Source organism: Homo sapiens, chromosome 18 (assembly GCF_000001405.40).
Source record: "Homo sapiens chromosome 18, GRCh38.p14 Primary Assembly".
Taxonomy (NCBI): Eukaryota; Metazoa; Chordata; class Mammalia; order Primates; family Hominidae; genus Homo; species Homo sapiens.
The window spans coordinates 75,047,912-75,069,607 of record NC_000018.10 but is presented as its reverse complement, the minus strand read 5'-3'; the positions used below and the strand labels follow the sequence as shown (position 1 = coordinate 75,069,607).

Below are 21,696 nucleotides of genomic sequence, written 5' to 3'. Positions count from 1 at the left end.
AGCAGATACCTCCTTCACCCAGTGAAGACCAGCACATCCAGCCTGGTATTTCAAAGCTGGCTTCATAATGCTGATTTCTCTAATTTCCATCTTCAGGATATTTCTTACAGTGTTTTTTTCATCTTGTTGGGTTTGCAATGGATGCCCTGTGGAGGTGCAGCTGAAGGCGGGGGGCGAGGGAAGCCAGACTGAATCCCGCCTGCTGCCCCAGGCCCACCACTCCCGCCTGCCTGGGTTTCCATGGTATTTACTTAATGGGTTACTTTCTCATAGTGATGAAAAGTCATCCCACAATGGGAATCCTGAGCTCCAGTTATGAAAATCGCCAAGGTGACCATGGAAAGGAGGCCAGCAGGCACGCTCTGCCTCTTGGGGAGAATGCCAGGCCCCGGGCCACTCTCATCCCAGAGGGAGCAGTGGCGACCACCCCGGACCTGGACACAGCCAGCCAGGGCCACGGCCTCAGGCCATAGCCACGACCACGCAGAGCTCACAGGCACCCCCCAGCCTGCAGACCTGGGGGCCATCCTCGGCCTGTTTCTCTGCCCTTTCTTTATCTCCAATTATAAAGCAGCGCCAGGTTTTCTTGTCAGCCTCTGCCATGTCTCCAAATGGCTTTTCGGTGTCAGGCCCATCAGGAAATTAACTCATCATGCCGTGACAGCTGCTAATTTTTTCCCCTTACATGTCAGATGGATCGCCTGCTGAAGCTAATAATGAATCACCCATCCCTGATTAGAAGGTGCTTCCGAAACGTATAACTGCCATCCGAGAGAACTTTTTTCTTCATGTAAAATGATATCACCCTAGAGGAGGAGAAAACGAATTGTATTCTTCAACAAGATGGAACAGGAGGAGGTTGCTTAAGTGAGCTGTGTGCTCTCTTAAATTATGGGCTAATATTAAACAGCCAAAGAAGTGAAAACTTACAGATTTTTAGTTTGCTAAATGAATGACCTTTCTTGTTCCCTAATTCTCTTCCTAGAACCAGCTCTGGGTTAGAAATCCAAGCTGGTTCTTGGATGCTTTCCTTATGCCATCATTTTATCTTTTGTTCAGGAAAAAGAAGTTCGGTAGGACCGAGACACAAATGCCATGTGGGGAGCAGCCCCTTGCTTCTTACAGCAGAGGTGGGCTGGGGCTGCCTGGCCCTGCGGAGGCCTTGCTGTGCCCCACGAGAGAATAGGGTAGAGAGACCGGGACTTGGGTAGAGATGACCGGGATTCCTCCCCGTCCACCTCCTAGGACTTTTGACAGAGCTTTGGTTGACTGAACTTTCCCATCTGTGCACTTCCTTGTAAAATCTAGTTTCAGCAAGAACCCTGCCAAATCGGTTTAGCCAGAAATCCTGGCGAGAACTCTAACCTTAACCCTCCATGTCTGCTCACTCATAAGATCTAACCAGGTTCCTTATCCTATCACGCCCCCTCCGCCTCAGGTGGAATCTGACGGCCCTGGCCTCGCTTCAGCAAGAATCCAGTCCTGTGGGCTTGGGCATAATCCCCTTCCCCGTGCGTCCTTTTAGCCATCTTCCATCCACCAGTGCCTGCTCCCCTTCCCTGTGCGTACTTTTAGCCATCTTCTATCCACCAGTGCCCGCTCCCCTTCCCTGTGCGCCCTTTTAGTCATCTTCCAACCACCAGTGCGTCCCTTTAGCCATCTTCCATCCACCAGTGCCCGCTCCCCTTCCCCCTGCGTCCTTTTAGTCATCTTCCATCCACCAGTGCCTGCCCCCACAACTTCTTGGCTGTAAACCTTCGCTTGCTCCTGTATTCAGAACCGAGCCCAGTTCTGTGCCCAGGTCTTTTTTCCCCTACTGACATTTTCCTGAATAAAATCTGGGTTTTACCTGTGCAACTACTGTCCAGCTCTGGTTTTTCTGTGATACTCTGCGGTCCCATTTCTGAACAGAGCTTATAAATGGCAGTGGAGTTTCCAGCCCTGCACTCATAGAAGCTTGTAAAGGGCAGTGGAGTTTCCAGCTCCACACTCATAGAACCTTGTAAAGGGCAGTGGAGCTTCCAGCCCCGCGCTCATAGAACCTTGTAAAGGGCAGTGGAGCTTCCAGCCCCGCGCTCATAGAACCTTGTAAAGGGCAGTGGAGCTTCCAGCCCCGCGCTCATAGAACCTTGTAAAGGGCAGTGGAGCTTCCAGCCCCGCGCTCATAGAACCTTGTAAAGGGCAGTGGAGCTTCCAGCGCTGCACTCATAGAACCTGGGCACATTCACTTGGTACTTCAAAGCAAACCACGTGGCGAAAAGGATCTCTGTATCAGGTGACGTGAGCTTGCCTGCTTGTTCTGCGGTGCATGGGACATATTTTAGGAGAGCATCTTCCCCTGCTTCTTCCACATCCACTGCTTGGTGAGGCCTGGGGCATCCCGGAACGACGCAGGTTTGATTCTGTTTCATGAACGTGACCTCAAGTGGCTACAACTTCCTTTTTCTGGAAACTGCTGTCTTGCTTTGTAACTCTCCAGCATATACAGAGAGCACTGCTCGACTTCCGCCATGGAAGCTGAGGTCTAAACCATTACTATCTGCTGCCTCAGGCGGTCTGGTCTTCCTTGCATGCCAGACGTCCTTGAGGCTCTGTCGTTTAATTGGCTGCAGCTTAATACAAAAGTGGCCTTTCTGGATTAGTCTCCAAGTAAATATTTCATTTGCCTTAAAAAAAAAAAAACTTTGAAGTTCTGTCATATTCTCTGGCAAAAGTCACAAGGAAAGCTATCAGCTTGCTTGTCTTTTTTATAGACAATCCATGCCACAATGAATGTCCCTTGCTCACAAAACCTGCTATGCCTCATTATTCTAAGGCACACATTCGTGTATGTACTTCTTAAACCCCCTTACATTCCAATAGTTGTGTAATGAGAGAGAAAAAGAGAGGTAACATTAACCTAGCTCTATGGGTAATTACAGGATACAATGGCTTAGTGAAGCCTCCGCAATCCTTCTGGGCCTAGAAACACCTTCTGTACAATTTTTTTTTATGCAAAGGCCTGCTCTTTTCATTGCGCATACAACGTGATTGCTGGTTTGACACTGCAGGCTACACTGGTTTTATGAAGGATTAAATGCCACCTGAGACATATTTATCCTAAATAAATCACCGACGGTACACTGCAGCATGTCAGTGTCAACACCCTGGACTGCAGCAGAAAGGTTAGCCATACAGGACTACGCACGGTTAGGAATTAGCATCCGAGCCGAGGGCCGTGGGCTACTGCTAACGGGAGGAGTGATCAAGAAGAAATCTTTCCACTGAAAAACATCCCCCCGCCAACCTTTTTTTTTTTTTTTTTTTTTTTTTTTTTTAACATGTATGAGAAGCCTGGCGAGGGCCATCACTTTGTAAAGGTCACCTTGATCCTGTCACTGTTTGCTGAAGACAGTGTTTAAGAAGCCCTGAATAGCCCTGCCATTGTTAAGAAACATGAGCAAGTCATACTCAGCTAATTATGGATCTCAGTGTCAGCCTTGAAATTTACCTTCAGTTCTTATTTTTTTGGAGGAGTGGCTGTCTAAAGGGAGGTGGCCCTAGGTGGACAGAGCTCAGCAGTGAGAAGGGCGCTAGGAAGAGGCCGGTTCCGCTTCTGAACTGGTCAAAGCGTGAGCTGGTCTCCATGCTCTCTCAGGAAGAGATTTTAAACGGCACTTGTATTTAAACAAAGAAGGTACCACTCTCCTTTCCTCTCATGCCTGCTCTTCACGATTTCTAGATGCTATCCATGATAGAATACGTTATTGTCACCAGAATGCATCTGGGCCATTTGCCAGATGCTGAGAAACAGTATCGGGCTGCAGGGGATGTGCAGCAGTGCTCCGCGTCTGGAGGCCACGAAGGAGGGAGAAGCCAGCAGCCACAAGCGCCGGGGTGCCCCCTCGGTTGCCACAGCTGCCCACCACTGGCTGCTGAAAATAACATGCCATCGTGATCTTTTAACGTTATAATTTTATTTCAAAGAAAACAGAAACAGAACAAAAACAACCTTTGCATTTGAGGGAGGAGATTATTTTACAGTTTTGGAAAAGAATAAGAACAATTGTATCAGGAAACAAATGATTATGACAGAAACTCGCATCCGACAGCTGCAGTGAATCCACGAGGACACAGACCATGCTGGTGGCCACAGCAGGGCCACAGGTGAATCCACAAGGAAACACAGACCATGCTGGCAGCCACGGCAGGGCCACAGGGCACGGTCTCCATGTGTTAATGTTTAATGTCAGCATTTTCATATGGACAGAAATCACGAAGAAATCCTGCAAAAATGGCATCAATATGAACAAACCCTTGTTATAAAAAGCAAAATATTGATAGGAACAATATCTTCCAGCGTGTGCGTTTCACATTTAGGCTTTACTGTATGAAACTAAGTCAAAATTAGAAGCACTGGCTATCTCCACCGACATATATTTTAACTGAATATAAACTTCAAGGCTTTTCTTAACCATAGGCTTAAGAGGATTTCTTTTATGCAGAATGTGACCAGAGCAACAAATACACCTAAACTGTTTGAAGATGGGAAATTTATACATGAAATGAGCTAGCAGGCTTCCTTTGGTATGGGGACACTGTTATTCTAAAATTAAAAAAAAAAAATTGAATGGAAGTGGACTGCTTCAAGATGGTAACACTTGTAGCTGCAATTTTTAGCCCAGTAGAGAATGAAATGGAAAGGCAGCTACATGCTGACTGCACAAGCAGGTGCACCCCAAGCCAGGAGGGGTATCTTCACCACTTTCCCCACGGCCATGACCTTCTGATAACTGAAATGGGAAAACACTTGGGAGAGAAAAACACCAACAACACTTGGCTTCTCTTCAGCACAGCGGCCAGGACGAAGCGGGAGGCCACTGATCGAAGGGCCCCCAGTGGACCGGAGCTCCCTGTGCGGCCTGCGCCCGGCCCTCCCCTGCACTTGGCAGCCTGCTCCCCGAGGCCCAGCCCACGGTACCCTCTGTGGGCGCCTGGCTGGTGGCCAGTGTGACTCTCGCTGGGAGGGCATGCTCAGAGCTCACGGGAGCCTTGTCCTCATGGTTTTGAAGGTTTCAGATGAAGCTCAGGGAACACGGTCCCCCACCGAAGCTGGACCTTCCCACACCTGCCCTGTGCTGAGTAAAGGTGCCGCGCGTCTCATGCTTCCTGGAGTTCGCTGCTTTCTCTTTGGCTCTGAATTGCCGCCGCGGCCGAGGAGCCCTCCTGGGTGTAGATGACCACGCTGGCCAGCTGCTCTGCCCTGCTTGGGGCCCCGGCCTCTGTGCCTAGCGTGGCCCCGGCCTGCAGGAGTTCCTGCGAGTCCGCAGTCTCCAGCACGGTGTGGGAGTACAGGCCCGGCTCGTCCTGCACCCCTGGGGGCAGCTCTGTCAGGATGTAGTGCGTGGTGCCCTCGGAGAAGCCGCCACTGGACTCCTGCACCATGGCCTGGACCAGCTCCTCCGTCACGATGATCTGCGAGATCTCCCCGTCGGACTCCACCAGATCCATGTGCTCGCCCTGCGCCTCCTGCATGATGATCTGGGCACCCTCCCCGGCGACCATGTGGACGGCACCCTCTTCGCTCACCACCACCTGGGTGACACCGTCCTTGACCAACTGGCCGGCCGCGGCCGTGTCACACACAGCAAACTGGAGGACGCCCTGGACCATCTTCTTGAAGGCCACCTGTGCCCGCTCCTGAGAGGCCATGGCTGCTGAGGGATGGACCACCTGGGTGAGCACCTCCACGGCGGCCGGGCTCTCCTGGGCCTGTGGGAACATCTGGATCTCGGGGGCCTCGGGGTCGGCAGCCACATGGGAGACCTCCTGCCCGGGCAGCTGGATCAGCACGTCTTTGGCGCCGGGCCTGCCTTGCTCCTCGAGCCCAGCCCTGCCCTCCACCTCCCCTAATTCAGTGACCGCACAGAGCAATGCATCCAGGGCTGAGGATGCCTCGGGGGGAGCGACTCCAGCCTCCGAGAGGTTTAAAATCTCCTGCTTGGTCACCTGTTGTATCACAGCGCCACCTGGACTGAGGGACTCATCCATGCCGTGGCCTTCCATGGAGCCCCCCACGACGACCACCTGGGTGGCTCCATCAGCCAGCTGCTCGGGGAGGATGGGTCCGGGCACCACGCTGCCTACATGTGCCCCGCTCTGACTCGTGGCGATGACCTGGCCATCCTCCGTGATATGCACCACCCGGGCCACCTGGCCGGCCATGGCCAGCGTCTGCAGCGTGGCGGCGGCCGTCTCCTCCACCGAGGGGTCCAGGGCAAACTCCCCGTCGTAGCCCTGGAAGATGATGACCTGCTGCACCTGCTCAGGGGGCGGCGCTGGCCTCCTGCTGCTTCTGAGGGGCTTCTCCTTGACGAGGGGCTCTTCTGCCAAGGCCGCCGCGGTGAAGGGGCTGTCTGTCTCCACGAAGGTGGCTCCTTGTCCCTTTAGACGGCACTCGTACGACTTGGAAACAATGCCTAAGGGAGACAGGGACCAGTTAGAGCCTGGAAAAAGTACTCGTAGGCTTACAAGTAAGACACTTCTTCTGCAGAAGCGCTCAGGCCTCAGCAGAGTCACCACGACCCCCTATTCCAAACCCTGAAGAGCTCTCTACAGTGCAAGCTTCAGCAGGGCCAGAGGCCTCCGTGGGCATCTGCAGGCAGGCTCTAGGCTCAAGGGCACACACAGTTAATACTGGGTGTGCATTTCCCCACAGCCCTGTGAGCTGTCCAATACAACTCTTTGCAGGGGTGTGCGCCTCTCCAATGCCCAGGGAAGGAGGCTGGATACCTCCCCCCAACCACCATCATGTCTTTTGTAACAATGCGTTCCGTCACGGGTGCTAAGTAAAGTTCAGCAAACAGCCAGCAGTAGTATCTCCTAACCCAACGGAAAATCTTTTTTTAATGACCAAATATTATATATGGTATATTTGTTTATTCAGCAAAAAGAATGAAAGCCTTGCATATTAAATTTTAAAAAATGTCATCAATAAACACCGCTGTAAAAGTTTAATGCAACAAATATTTATTGAACATCGACGTTTCAGGTGCTGAACCTGGGCAGGCAGCCTGTGCGGCCATGTGAGTCGCCGTGTCCTGGCAGCATGCAGGGCACTCTGCAGGGTGCTGGGCACATGCAGACACAGGGTCCTGGCCACTCAGGGGCTGAGAGGGGAGTCTATACTGCAGAACTGGGCAGCGGGCTTCGAGGGGACAGACTCAGCCTTCCTCTTCTCTGTCCCATCTTCCGGACAGTGCCTTGGATTGAATAAGTAATCAACAAAGATGTGTTTGCCGAACGTCTTGGATACAACATAAGGTGACAAGACACAGAGACAAAGAAGCCATACATTCAGGAAAGAATATTCAGGGAAAGATGTAAAAACGAAACAACATTGTAGCCCTGTCTTCAGGACAAGATTCAAGCCATCTCTCGTGGACTGGGAGGAGAAGTTCCAGACAGAAGCAGCGAGGGCCCAGGCAGAGGCAGGAAGGCCATCCCCAAGGTGCTTCAAGGCCTCAGGGCGGTGGAAGGCTCGGGCTGTTAGGAGAATAGGTTGCTCATCACAGAGCAGGTTGCCCAAGGCTTCCTCCACCCTGCACTAAGGTACCTGGGCTATGGGCTGCAGAGAGGAGGAGCGTGCTGAATGTTTTTAGCAGGAAAACTACAGGACTGTAACAGAGGGTAAGAAATTTACGATCTGAAGTGCCAGCCCCAAATGCCTTAGTGAAAACAACGTGTGTAGAAGATACCATAAGCCCCGTGGTGCCCGGGCAGAGGCAATAAGGGGAGACCAGGAGAGAAAAGAGGGGGTGAGCAGGACGAGAGTGAGGAGGGGAGAGCCGGAGCTGGGTGCATCCCCTGGTCTGGAGCCATCTTGTGCCCTTCACTGTCTGCCCTTTGTCAACGGGATACCCAGGACAGGCAGGCAGAGCACAGGGCTTGGGTGGGCAGTGGGATTCTGAAAGGCCTGGGCTGCTGCAGGAGCGCTGAGCCCATCGCAGAGCTCTCGGGCCAGGGGCTTCGGCTGTCATCTATCCTGTACAAAGAAAACTCTGGCGGGGCACAAGTACGGCGGGGATGGGAGGCGCTGCACGAGGGCACACGGCCAGGCGCACATCACACCCTCCTCAATGTCACTGGCGACTCAGGGCAACGCCTGCTGCTCCCTGCCTTGCTGGATAAAACAGGGCTGGAAATGATAAACTTTATTTTCATAAAAAAGAAATGGGCTCTTTAAACAGACTTCCTGTTTTCTTCTTTAAATCCCAATTTTCCATCGGTTTTCTAATCGACTCCATCCCTCCTAAATAAGAGAATGATCGATAGGTGACCCACAGCAAACATTTCCATAGTTCAACAGCAACCACATTTTTGAGATATTCTGCTTTAATCTCCTTGAGGGGGTCAGTTTCTTAACAGCGTCTTTTAACCTTAACAAAAGGGAAAAAAGGATCAAGAACTGTTCAAGATTATTTATTGCTAGGATCTCTTAAAAACAGAGTCAACCATTTTGCTTATCGTGTTGGTGGTGTTCTGCAAGAAAGCATTTCTTTCAATACCGAGTTAATTCTGAGCACAGACCCCAGACAGGGCCTGTCTTCCAGTGGGTGCATCTCAGGCAGGATCAGCAGAAATTGTTAAATCACGTTTACCAAGGGGACATGGCCCAGCTCTTACTCAGGCTGGAGGAACACGGTCCTGGATTTGAAAGTATTAATTAACTGATAAGTACTAATTAATATATCTTCTTTCTCAGGCAACTCTGTAAAGTGTGAATCTTAGAAAGGGTATGGAATTTTGTCAAGAAAAGAGCTGCGGCCGGGCGCGGTGGCCGACGCCTGTCATCCCAGCACTTTGGGAGGCCGAGGCGGACGGATCACGAGGTCAGGAGATCGAGACCATCCTGGCTAACACGGTGAAACCCCGTCTCTACTAAAAATACAAAAAATTAGCCGGGCGCGGTGGCGGGTGCCTGTAATCCCAGCTACTCGGGAGGCTGAGGCAGGAGAATGGCGGGAACCCGGGAGGCGGAGCTCGCAGTGAGCCGAGACCGCGCCATCGCACTCCAGCCTGGGCGACAGAGCGAGACTCCGTCGCAAAAAAAAAAAAAAAAGAAAAAAAGAAAAAAAAGAAAAGAGCTGCAGGGCCAGCCAGGACTAGCTCCACTACCAGGAGATACTCCTGTGTACTCGCTCTGCGTCCACGGAAACCTCGCATGAGCAGATGCCGCCGGGCTAGTGAACCGCAGGGGGGAGCCAGGCCTGGCCTGGCCCTCACGCACCAGGCAGAGGAAAGCACTGCGTCTTCAAGGGCAACTCACCCTTCCCGGAAGAGGGACCAAAATGTTCGTAAGTCTAGCTTAACAAATTCCCTAATTATAGCGCACCCTGTTTTCTCATGGTTACACCCGACCAAGGACAGAGAACAACTGGGTAGCATTAAACGGGGCTGCCGGCTGGCCCCAACGTGTGCTTCGGGTAGCAGGCACTTCCGGAACACGACTTCCTCTTCCTGAGGTTTGGTGCTAGCAGTTACAGGTATTCAAGCTGTGGTACTCATGCCGTGTGAATGCCTGGAGACTTTCCAAAGGAGTTTTGAGGGTTGGAAAGGGTCTGCCTGGGCACGTGTCTGGGGACAGAGCTCCTGACTACCTGCCTTTCTCCCTCCTCCCAATTTGCAGAAGAAACAACCCGCGTCCATCCCCGCCTGGTGCCTTGACCGAGGGAAGATCAGAGTTTAAAAGCTGAGCTGAAATGAGGGTGGGCGTGCAGGTCCCACGGGCAGGGGCCGAATCGCTGCCTGTCTCATGGTTGTCTTGTAAACTTTGATCCTCCTATATTCTCTCCTCGGAGAGGTCAGAAGCCTCAAGAGGGTGGCGCCCACAGCTCCTGTATTCATGCTTCCTTTCCGCCTGAGCATAAGCCGGGCCCGTGTGGCTGATCCCCGGTCAGTTTGCCATCTGCTAGGACCTCTAGATCTTTGTCTCCTGTATTTGACACATTCTTTCTCTGGTATGCTTGCAATTTCTCCCCAACCCTACTTTTCTACCCAGCGCCATCTTCACATGTCAACCTTGATTTGTTTCTGTCCGTTCTCTAATTTTAATGTCATTTTTAGTCTAATTCAGAATTTGAAAAAAACGGAAATAAGGACACAAAAACAAAGAAGGCAGCCTTCTGGTCATTCCCCTCCCCCATTAATTTTAATTACAGAAAAGGACATACTGCCAGTACATTAAGAGAGAGGAGAAACTACTGTAGTTGGGAAGGAAAGAACAAACATCCTCTTCTTCAGTAGTCTCAGGAAGAAATGGTGCATGCTTGAGTCCAAGCAATTGTTCTTTACTTTGTAACTGGACAGGAAATCTCTTGGGTATAGAATTATCCTTTGGATCCCTTGCAGCACTGATAATTATGCTATTCTGAACTACTTACTGAATGTATTTTAATCCAGAGGTGGGTTAAGCCACTTCCAGACCATTAATGTAAACTAAATGGGTAAATACTGCTGTCGGTGTGGGGTGTGACGAAGCCTAGCAACACCAATGTCCTCACCTCCGCACACGCACAGGCCCAGCGAGTCCATCACAGTTCATAAATGCGAGCGCGGGTCCATCTTTTGATTCAGCAATTTAATAACTTCGAGTGCTGTCAGTACTGCTTTGAAAAATAGCACCTATAAAATGTAACAGCCTCAATCAGATTGAAAAAGATTCACCCACTGAAGATTCTTCCATTTCAACCATGATGAATTAATGTTGAGCTATGTAGAAGTTCAAGTGTCATTTAAACGAATGTGAATCTCTTCTATAACTTTAAACCCTAACTGGGCTATGACCAAGAATGTACTGGGTACATCGACCTCCAGTTTTGAGCTCTTTCTAGTAAATATGAACTGTAAAGCTCACCAAATGCAAATGGCCAAATGGATACAGCGTTTGGGAAACAGGCACGTGGTACAGGTTGCATCCTTCACTGCTTAGTCACTGTTATGTGTCCAAAATCGCACAAAGCCTTAATGGGGCATGGATGCTCAATGTAGTATTTGTATTACGGTACCTTTAAAAAAGACAGTGTCAGATTTCAATACAGTAACAGTAGTTAACCAAACAGTGTGCCTAAAATCATTCTTTTTTGGGTCTGTTTTCAACAGGGCAATAAGCAGCTTTGCGTAGAAGGCACAGTGACATTAAAATGCAGCCTCGTGCCCATCTACAAAGTCCTCACTTTCTGCCCGTTTGCGTTCGTGAGCACAAAGATATTTTACTCCCTTCTCAGAGCCGAATGCATTGAAAGTTCACAGCTTGGATGGAATAAAAAGGTAGTTACTGGGGTGTCTGAGGATTTGCTTTTGGGGAGAGGATTTTGAGTTCGGCTCGCTGCTCTGGGATGCCATTATGATGCTGCAGCTCCTTCTGCGTGCTTGAAGCCAACATCTCCAGCGTGGAAAAACACAAGCTCCATTATGCGGGGGTGGAGGGGTTAAGCTGCAGAGACTTTGCTCCCCAAAACTGTGCTAGGGGCTCAGTTCTGCTGGCTGGTGTGCTTCTGGGAAGCAGCACAGGGCTGCGTACCTGACTCCTTCCTCTGTGTGTGTGCTGCTCCTTCCTTACTGTCATCATTTGTTCCCACAGAATAAATACCTTACGCTTTTGTTAAGCTTACATTTAATTAAAATGTACAGAATTTGTGCAGTAAACCCGAATGAAAAAAATAAAACAAGGGCCCCCTCTCTTGAAGGCATACGTTGTGAATGAAAAATGTCATTACAGACTAAAAAATTTTGCAGTAAACAGGGCCTACAGAGAGAAGTTTCCCCTGTAATGACATCCATAAAATACACGAATGGCACTTTTAGTACCATCCTGAATATGGCATTTTCTGTGCTCTACACACAATCTAAATGGTTTGATCATAGAGCATAATACTCCATTGGGTTTATAGAACAATCAATGTTCCCTAAAATGATGTATTTATCCAATAGTAGGCTCAGCAGTTACTGGTGTATGACACTGTAGGACACAGGCTTGGGCTCCTCGGCCGCACACGTGCTGGCTGTAAAACTTATCTAACACCACTTCAACAACTTCATCTCATCTGTGGCAAGTAATTTGTGGAAGCCTCAGCTTGGTTTAAAAAAAAACTTGTAATAAAAATTCATAGAATTTTCAGGAGAATGAAAGCTGATGACAATAGAAAGGTCACATTGTGTCTCCACTAAAGGGGTCAAAGGTTGTTAGCAGTTCTAAAACCGAAAGTAGATTTCATGCATCACGTAGCAGATAAAGATGGCATTAAAAAGACGTGTCGTGGGGTGAGATGCCTAATGCCTACAAAAGCCTGTGCTAATATCCTATGTAAACCACTCTGTTGCTGTGAGTTGGCATTTATTTTAAATTTCTAAGCTTCTCCTGAAATGGTACTAAATGTTGATACATTGCTAGGTTACATCTCAGACACTGGATGTACTTTAGATTTTATATTTTCGTAGGCCCAGTAAGCTTGAGAATGCTGGGATGGTTCCTTGTCGTAATGAAAGCACCTTGAATACGATGCGATTAAAAAAATTTTCACATAAAAATTTGGGACACACATGACATTGCAATTCTTAAGCCACATATAATTTTTCTTGGCTTCAATTTTAAGATGTAATTTTAACAAGAATGTTAAGAAATCATACTTAATGTCTATTAAAATGAAACAATATTAACAGATTATGCTAATAAATTAGAGCCATATTTTAATGTCACAAAAGCTTATAAGTTTCTCAAGTGAAAGCAGGAAAAATGACAAATTAAAATTCAATGAAATATAACCTTTTAGAAATTTCAAAGCAGGGAATACATTATTCTTACAATAGCAGTCACCGATAGTTTGGCCAGTCAAACTGATCTCAATAATTGCTCCAGAATTTATTCATCTTATAGACAATAATAATTCCCTGGCATTATGCAAGATGTCCTGTTACAGAGCTCCCACTGGACTCTGGTTTTGAAGAAGTGATGCTTTCTATGTTAACACTGGTACATATTACGGGGGACTCCCTGCCTTTGAGCTACTTCTTGTACTAAACAATGTGAACTTCCTCAAGTTCCTGAAGGGAAAACTCCAATCAAGTGGTTTAGGGACTTCGCTAGGATCAAAGAAAGAGTATGAATCTGGTATAACATGGGACAGAGTAACCTCTTAGTTTTATATTCCAGTAACCAAATGGCAATTTCTCCTTTTTTAAAAAAGTTTTTAAGAACACAGGTTGGTTGGTCAGTACCTCATGTTTCTCCATTATTTTCAATGGTTAGAAACACATTCTGGTCAGCGTTACTAAAATTCACACACAAAACAGAAACAGAAAGGTTACTTGAAATACAAGATTAAGAATTATTTTTAGCCTTTGACATGCATGTTAAACATGGTAGCTAAACTAGTGAGATTTATCTCAGAGTACAGATCAGTTTTGGTCAGCTGACAGGAGCTGGCCTAAGGACAAGTTAGACATATCATAGCATAATAATTAAAAGGAGTTTTGGTAACTATCTGCTGTATACCACATATAAACATATAAAAATATGTTGAAGGAGGACAGTATATAAAGTCTTCGCCATGCCCCGCATTTCATGACGCTGCTGTTTTATAAGAAGAGATGGGGAAATTGCTTTTCTGTAAAAATTAGCTGAGATTCACACCATTTCCGAAAAATTCTTTCACATACATTCAAATACACAATTTCTTTGGATATACCATGCAATTTTTAGTGAAGGAACATTTACAATAAACCAGGGCAAAAATTTAGGTACCAAAAGTTTTAGTCCCTTTTTCTTAATTGCCATGGGTGCGACATTTAACACTGGCAGCAACTGAAGATGATCATATAAAACCCCTGAAAAGAATTCTGGAAATTCACAAAAAATGAAGACTAAATTTTATCTCGAGTTGGAAATACATAATCATGCAGGTTTCTAACTTTACCAAGAATAGTCTCCATGGGCCTAGATATTTCCATGGCCACTGAAGAGTGACAAAGAACAAAAGACAATATTTTACCTTTAAAGTCACAAACCCTAAGAAATGTTGTATTATACCAGACCCTTAGGTCTATATTATCATTTTCATGCATGAAGATCTAACAGTAATAGAGGTGATGCACACAAATCTCACTCAGGAAGATGAGAATGCGTGCTTTAAGGTTATCTTGACGGGCTTTGTGGGGTGGAGAGGAAGGGCAGAGGTTAACTGTTTCTCTGCTGGGCAGAGGCCTGTGAGCTACACAGAGAGATCGTGGTGCACAACCATGTACCTTTGGAAATCGAACTCAGGTGACAGAAACAGTGTCATTGAGTTTCATGGAGGGCGATGAGATGGCACTTTAAAATTAGGCTGGGAAGGGCTCTGATCTAGTCATTTACCCATGAATAGTACTTCTTCAGAACAGCCAGTTGATGTGCCAGCAGAAAGTGCTCAAAAGTCTTCAGTCCTATTTGAAATAAAGCACGGGGAGGAGTGGTGGAGGGGAACCCATGCAGTATCAACATAGGGTGCGTCTCTCACTCTGCACACATTTCCGGGTGTTGAGGTCAGAGCCCTGGCCAATGGGAAGGGGGGTGTCCCTCTTGGAGACACCCTGGCCTCTCCTTCCAGTGCAAGCCTTCTGCTCCTGTGTGCCGACACGTGTGTGAGCATTAGTGACAATGGCTGAGAACACGTAACAGTGCCCTTCAGGCTTTGTATGGGGGGGAGCCCATGCTTGGAAAAGAGCTGTGGAATGTCAGTCCCTCAGGAGTGAGGCTTCCAGAAGACCTTCAAACTCTACCAGACAAATAGCGCCCCCCTGCTTACTGTAAGGCTGCCTCTGTTTGACTTAAAGACGTAACAAACTGGAATAGGCATTCTTATGGAATCAGGAAATTAGGAATCCCAACCACCTTTTCCTAAATGTCCTCTGATAGTCTATGAACTCCCAATGCAGATAAACAGTATCAGGAGACAAGGCCTATTTTTCAAAAGTTGTACACATTATACATACCTTAAAAGGTAAAATTATGCAAATAAGCCCAGCCGGTCCTCCTGGAGGGCATGCATCTAACAAGGCTACTTTAAAAGGCTAACAAGACAGATTCAACTTTTTCCTTTTTCTTTTTCTGGCAAAACCCTATAAAAAAACCCACATTCACTTTTGTAGTCATGTTTATATTTCCTTTATATTATAGTATCTTCATATTGTTCCCAAGGAAATGAGAGGAAACAGACATTTGTCTTCATTGTAGACACTTTCATATGAAGGTAGAAAGCAAACTGCTTCTCAGTAACCGCACAGAGGCATCATTAAAATCAAATTTACAGTAAACAGAACCGACGGCTGGGGTAAAACACTAACTGTTAGTATTTTAATGATCAGCAAAGCTTTCGGAGGTCTAACATCTGCTCATAGCCAAACGATAGCAGCTGCTTGTGTACACTTGAAACAATGCGGATTTCTTCTCTATGCCTTAAAATGAATCATATGTGCTGGGCACATGGCTGCTCTTTCCAACGGAGTTGGTGTGTGCCAGGAGACCTCCAGCACCCTGTGGATAGCAACTCGGGAAGGCCCGGGCTCTTTGAGGCAGGAGATCCAAACCCGCAGAAATCCCTGAGTCCAGGAAATGAAAGCAGGAGAAAGGGTGCAGGAGGCCACCACTGGCTGGGCAAGGCTGCCAGGTGCGGGGGAAGCAAAGCCTCAGGAGCTGTCACCGCGGAGCAAGTCAAGGGGAGGACACAGGGCCATGAAGGTGAGGGGACGATGGCCCTCAGTCCTTCCTTGGATCTACCTGGATGGACTTGGGAGAGCCTCTGTGCCAGGCCACACCCAGCCTCAGCCTTTTCTACACACGGCAGGACCGAGTGGGCGGACTGGACGCTGACATTGTCAAGGTAGAAAACGATAACGCATTTTCTTCCTAACCAGTAGAAACTACTATCTTCATTTTCAACATTTTCCTAAATATCTAAGTTAAATTCCTCTTGAAAGTTGCAGAGTATCTGTGGCTTGGGCTCTACAGAATAACATACCCCTGGGATAATAAAGCTTAACAAAAATCAAACAAAAGACAAACTATGAGGCATGAACCCTGACTCTGGAATGAGCAGAATGAATAGAAACTAACTTTCAAATGGAAACCCTGAGTGAAGTGGCAGCTGTTGGAACCCACAGTCAGGCAGCTTGGTGAGGCAGTATCCGTGGTTTCCCTCCACACACCTGACCTAGCTTTTCTGAGAAGCAAGGGAAGTTCAGAGGGAGATCCTTTTAGAAAGCACAATCCAAATGAATATTGAGCCCAGACCTGACGGGGTCCTGTCCACCTGGTGCACTGTGCACATCTGAAATGCACAGGACGGGGTGAGGCGGGACCTGGGTGCGGCCGGCACTAAGGCCTCACTGTGTCTAGAGGGAACAGTGCGTCATTCTATCTCAGCAGCTATGCACGGCACACTGAAGTCCTCCAGAAAATTTCCACAGTAGATTTTTAAAATAGGGTAGTAAGTCCAATAAGGTAATCATGTGTCATGGGGCTGGGGCCAATTACAGGACCACACGATTCCACTGTGTTCCAAGAGGGCGTAAACAGGAAAACTATCTTTTAAAAAAATTATTAGCAGTTTATCAGGGAAATTAAAGGCTTTGTTAAACAGGCAACACTATTTCGCCTTTTCACTAAAAGCCTGTTTGAAAGGAGCTGGCTGGCAGGCACACATAGCAACAAGCATGCGGTATGGGTCCGAACGCTGATCAGGGAGTGACATCCACGCACATGTGTCCTTCCACCCGGGTGCACGTGCAGGAAAGCAGTAGCAAAGCTGTGTACCGGGTGCCGCACAGGCACCCCCAGAAGGCACTTTGTGTGGGAATGGTGACGTGAACAAGTGGAAAACTGAATTCATTATGTGTAATCCAAACTCAGGTACCTAAGAAACGAGCTCTATCAGGCGGCTGACGCCTGAGTCCACTTGGCACACAACCAGTTGCCCACTTAACATAATCTTCAACAGGGGTTAGAAAGGCAGGACTTGGAATGCTTTCGGGTGGAATGTCTAAGGGCCACTTCTTCTGCCGGAACTTCCCAGTCCCAAAAATAAAGCTACAGGCCTGACACTGGTGGAGGATCTTCAAGGGACATGGGAGGACCGGAAGACGGGCTCCCTGAGCTCCTTCATGGAGGGAGAGCAGTGGCATTCTGTCCCACTCTTTGTTGTTGTTTTTTTTGCTGTGGTTCAAAAAATGGCTCATCGTAATATTCTGAAGGGGCAAAGGCAATCTAGCATAAGCGCGCGACTCCTGTGGCAGATAACAGCGAGGTAATGTAATTATACAATGGGGCATAATAGGCTAATTATTAATACCATTTTCTAAAATTTAAACACTTTATATGCTTAATCAAATGTAACATTTCCATGTTTTCTTGAAATATATACATACACATGCATACATAAAATTAAGCACACCCAAGCACACGCCTTCGTGGACATGCACACGTATGCAAGCACTGCTAGCGGTGTTTGACAAGGGTAGCCTTCCATTTCCATTCTCCTCATCACGTTCCTTATCCAAAGGTCTTCCCCAGAGCCTCTCCTGAGTGCGAATCTATGGCATTCTGGGTGGAGGACAGACATGAGTTAAGTAGGCGGGCCTTTCTAAACTATGTTCAGGACTATGTCAAATGGGCAGCTGGCTGTGTGTCAAATGAACCTGGCCTTCACTTATGAGAGTGCCTGAGTTCTGATGACATGTGGTGGTCTCTGCTTTTTAGGGAGTTCCCTGGAGAAAAGCCCCTCGGACATGTCTCACATAGCTCCTTACCTGATGACCGACCCCCAGACTAGCAGCAGCATGGCTGGAATAAGTCCCGACACACAATGTTTGAGCAACACTTGTTAATTCTTTAAGAGCTGTTAAAGTTTTTAAAGGGTAGGATATCTAAGAACTGGAACAGTTTTAAAACCTCCAAGGTTCAGAGATTCCATTGCATATCAATTCTCTCTTCTCTAGAACCCTGAATATGTTTCTTTCACTGCTCATGTGGTTCTGTTGCTATCACTCTGCTTCATGAAGAGTGACTGTGATGGGAAACGAAATCCCACTGCTGACAGTCCTGAGCTCTTAGAGACAGTCAGGGAATGGGAGAGAAAGGCAATGATCTATTTCACTTAGTACTATAATTAGAAGAATAAATACCCACTGTGATAATCAGTTGCATGACTACTAGTAGAATTTTTAGGTTCCGTAAGTGAGCACAGGAAGAATGCACTCGGGTGCTTTTGTAGTTTGTCACATTTACCATCTATTAAAGAGTTTCTGGGTAAACCTAACAGAAAAACCTAGGTCCTAAGTGACAGCATTAACATGGGTCCATAAGCAACTGGATACTTACATATGTCTTAATTATATATTTATTTAATTTGAAAGTTACTTTGGGTTTTAGAGACATTAGGTAGACACCCACACAGCCTGTCGTACATACTTCCAGCCTATCACACTGAATCTTAATTATCCATACGTGTGCTCATCTTTCCTGCTACACCGAGAGCTCCTTGAGTGCAGGGCTCTATTATTTGCCACGGCATCTTCAGTGCTTGGCATATAATAGGCCGTAATAAGTATTGCTTTAAAAAGAAGACAAATCTAAAAAGGAAGGATTGACTACTCTTTAAAACATCCTCCAGGTAAGAGAAAGAGCATGAGCTCTGGTGTCAGCATGCTTGGGTTTGATTCCTCAGGACACCTGGAAGTTACTATAGAAAGAGAAATCTCCATAGATCTCTGTGTTTTGGTGCTTTTTGTGAGCTGAGGCACTGACTACCTTTACTGTAGATTATCTTTTCGTGGATGTTTCTAGAGAAATCAGCCTTGGAAGAGAAAGAGGGTGTCTTCTTTCAGAGCAAAGGGCAAACTGATCCGTTGTTCATTATAATAAAAATAAGTACTCCTCTTGGACAGAGAACAGGCAAGCTTACTCCTTGTAATAAAAGATTTGGGCTCCCTGAATTCTGCGTTCATTGCCTATACTACAACCCACTGTGTGTACAGATGTCACTGGCCTCTTCATGTCAGCCTGTGGGAGTTTGGACTCAGGAAACTGGGTCAGATGCTGACCCTTTGGCTACAGCTGTTGCTGTGATTAATAAAGTCCTTTATCTCTGACCCAGGAATCTCATGTCTTCTGCCAGTATCCATAAACTGTGGCAGAATATTTGCAAGCTGGATAAAATTTTAGACTTTTCATAATTCTAGACAGTCACTTAAATTTATTAAATCTTGTTTTCTTAATCAATAAAATATGTAACATAATACTTATTTTCTTAAAGAGTAAATGAGACAGCCTATGTACAATACTTAGCATTGTGCTTGACACACAGGAAGGGCTCAATATATTAACAGTAATATATTATATGGTAATAATAATTACTATTATTTTAAGTTTAATGCATTATAGTTCAGTTCATATCACCTGAAATTGGTATGTAATGTAACTAATATCTATGAATATACAAAATAATCTTGTATGACTAAAATATTTGAACCACATTATACATACAGCAAAATTAAATTTAATGCAAATAAATGTAAAGTCCTGCAGTCGGTAGTAAAAAATTGCCCAAAGTATGACAGAAAATGACTTCCAAGTTCTAGCCACTGGTAGGATCAATACACTGATGTGGCTACATCAATACAAGTACAGAGTTCAGGCAAAGAACGGTAATAATATGATGATAAGCTGCTCAGACTATACTTAGGGTGTCATGTTGAAGCTTGAGCTCCAAGTTTTAACAGAAACATTGACAAATAGCCATGAATATAGAGAAAAGAAACAAAAATAACTGGGGACTTAAAATGCATAAAGAATGGCTTCAGTTTACGAATACTTAAAGGACTATCATGTGGAAGGGAGAACAGGTTCATTCTGCATGGCTCTAGAAGGCAAAATGGGGAACAGCAGAGGGAAGTTATAGGAAGAAAACTTTGCCTTAATCACACTGATTCAGAAACTGAAACGCGATGCCTTAGCATTGAGACTCCTATTAAAAAAACCTGAACGACCACTTTTTGGAGATGCTGCAAAGAGGACTCAAATCAGGGGCTCCAATGTCCTTGCTAATATTTAGATTATGATTCTAGAACTCCCAAAGCAGGGAGCAGAAGTTCTGCTGAATACGCGTGGGCCTATCAGAGCAGACAGTGCCGGTGACCCACATGTCTTCAGGAACCGGACAAATAAGTATGATCCCAGGCTATGTTAGTGAAACCCTGCCAGAGCAGGAGGCTGCGCTGTTTGACATCAAGTGATTCATCCTAGCTCCATGATGCCAATCTCTGGCTTCAGCTCTTAGCCACCCAACATACTACCTGATACTCAGTTCCTCCAAATGCAAACAACATGAACTTTCTGGGCAATTACCAGATATTTGAATCTGCCTAGTTCTGTGTGCAATTATATATCACACCAGCTGACAGTGAGATCATGACGAACAACTCCCCCACCCCCCCCCCACCCAAAAAAAAAAAATACTACCGGCCAGTGTTATTTGGAAAAACAACGAGGTGGCCATGAGCACTCACCACTCAGATTTCCTGTCAAGGAGCGTGGCTGGCAGCACTGCCCCCACTGCATCCAGGCCAGCCAAGGGTGACTCCACAAAAGGGTCCCCTCCAGGCCCATTCCTGCCAGCCAGGGAGCCTCTCGCTGGCTGACTCTGGCTTGGTGGCCCTACAGCCTGAACACTGCCTGCTCACCCCTTCTGCCCCTTCCCACCCTCCAATTTAATTTTTTCAGTTTTTAGGAATCATAACTGTTCACAAGCAAAATATGTTATTTGCAAATATATGCTTGCAAATAGCAGGCCCTCATATCTTGTCATTCTAAAACAAAACAAACATTTTAAACATAGTTATAAAGTTGATGAAAATAATCTAGTTGATTTTTTTAAAGACAGAAAGTGTCAGGATTCCAGTCATTGGCTCATGAAAGCATCTCTTGTTTTCACATCGAGCTGAGAGTTAGAGTCCTGTCAGTTATTACTGGCAACATGCTTCAGGCCAGGGGAAGGCTAGGCTGGGTTGGAAATTTCTGGCTATGATGAGAATACAGGTGGTAGTCCCAAACACCTGAGGGTTGAAGTCACCTGGGTGCTGCGTGGGAGGCTGAGAACCAAGCTGAGCAAAGGAGCTCCAGGAGACACTGGCAAAGAATGGACAGTCAGAGCCAGTCAAGAAAGCCAAAAAGTCAAGACCTGAGGTCATGGAAGGGAAGAAAGAAGAGAGGGACCAACCATGGCAAATGCCAAAAAGAAATACCATGTAGACAAAAATTAGGCCTCTGACGCATAATACCAGAAAGACCACGAAATTAATCAGTGAAATCAGAATACCATTGAGAGCAAAAAGGGCGGTGTCTGTACAGGTCACCGGGAGACGAGGCACAGGCCTGGTGCTGCTGACAGGTGTCAGCTTCAGCTGCATTAGGATCTGAGTCTATGATTCTGGTCATTTTCCTCTTGAGCACGTGGTTAACGAGTTATGAATACCAACACGTGCCATATTCTATATAAAAACCAATATAAGGCTGTCTGATTAGTGGCTTCATTACTATAACGAAGAAAAGAAAGGCAGGTGAAACTTGGCATGATGTGTGCGGAAATACAGACATTCATGTGTTTACCTTCGTCTCTACTCACTATTAAA

At 46.6% G+C, this 21,696-nt stretch overlaps 1 protein-coding gene across 2 annotated transcripts in view, besides 1 other annotated feature; it reads right to left on the bottom strand.

Annotated features, from left to right (window-relative positions):
• The window catches only part of ZNF407 (zinc finger protein 407), a 467,802-nt gene continuing 450,042 nt past the window's right edge, over positions 3,937 to 21,696 (bottom strand). For both annotated transcript variants that reach the window (NM_017757.3, NM_001384475.1), the window contains exon 9: positions 3,937 to 6,458. In NM_017757.3, the coding sequence (NP_060227.2) occupies positions 5,140 to 6,458 (1,319 nt within the window). In that variant the 3' untranslated portion in view covers positions 3,937 to 5,139. The remainder of the gene's footprint in view (positions 6,459 to 21,696) is intronic.
• Positions 15,708 to 16,208: an enhancer, noted in NCBI's record as "H3K4me1 hESC enhancer chr18:72765356-72765856 (GRCh37/hg19 assembly coordinates)". NCBI's record gives its function as "activates a minimal SCP1, AML or CMV promoter by ChIP-STARR-seq in primed H9 embryonic stem cells {active_cell/tissue: H9 hESC(primed)}" and the evidence as "EXISTENCE:reporter gene assay evidence [ECO:0000049][PMID:30033119]".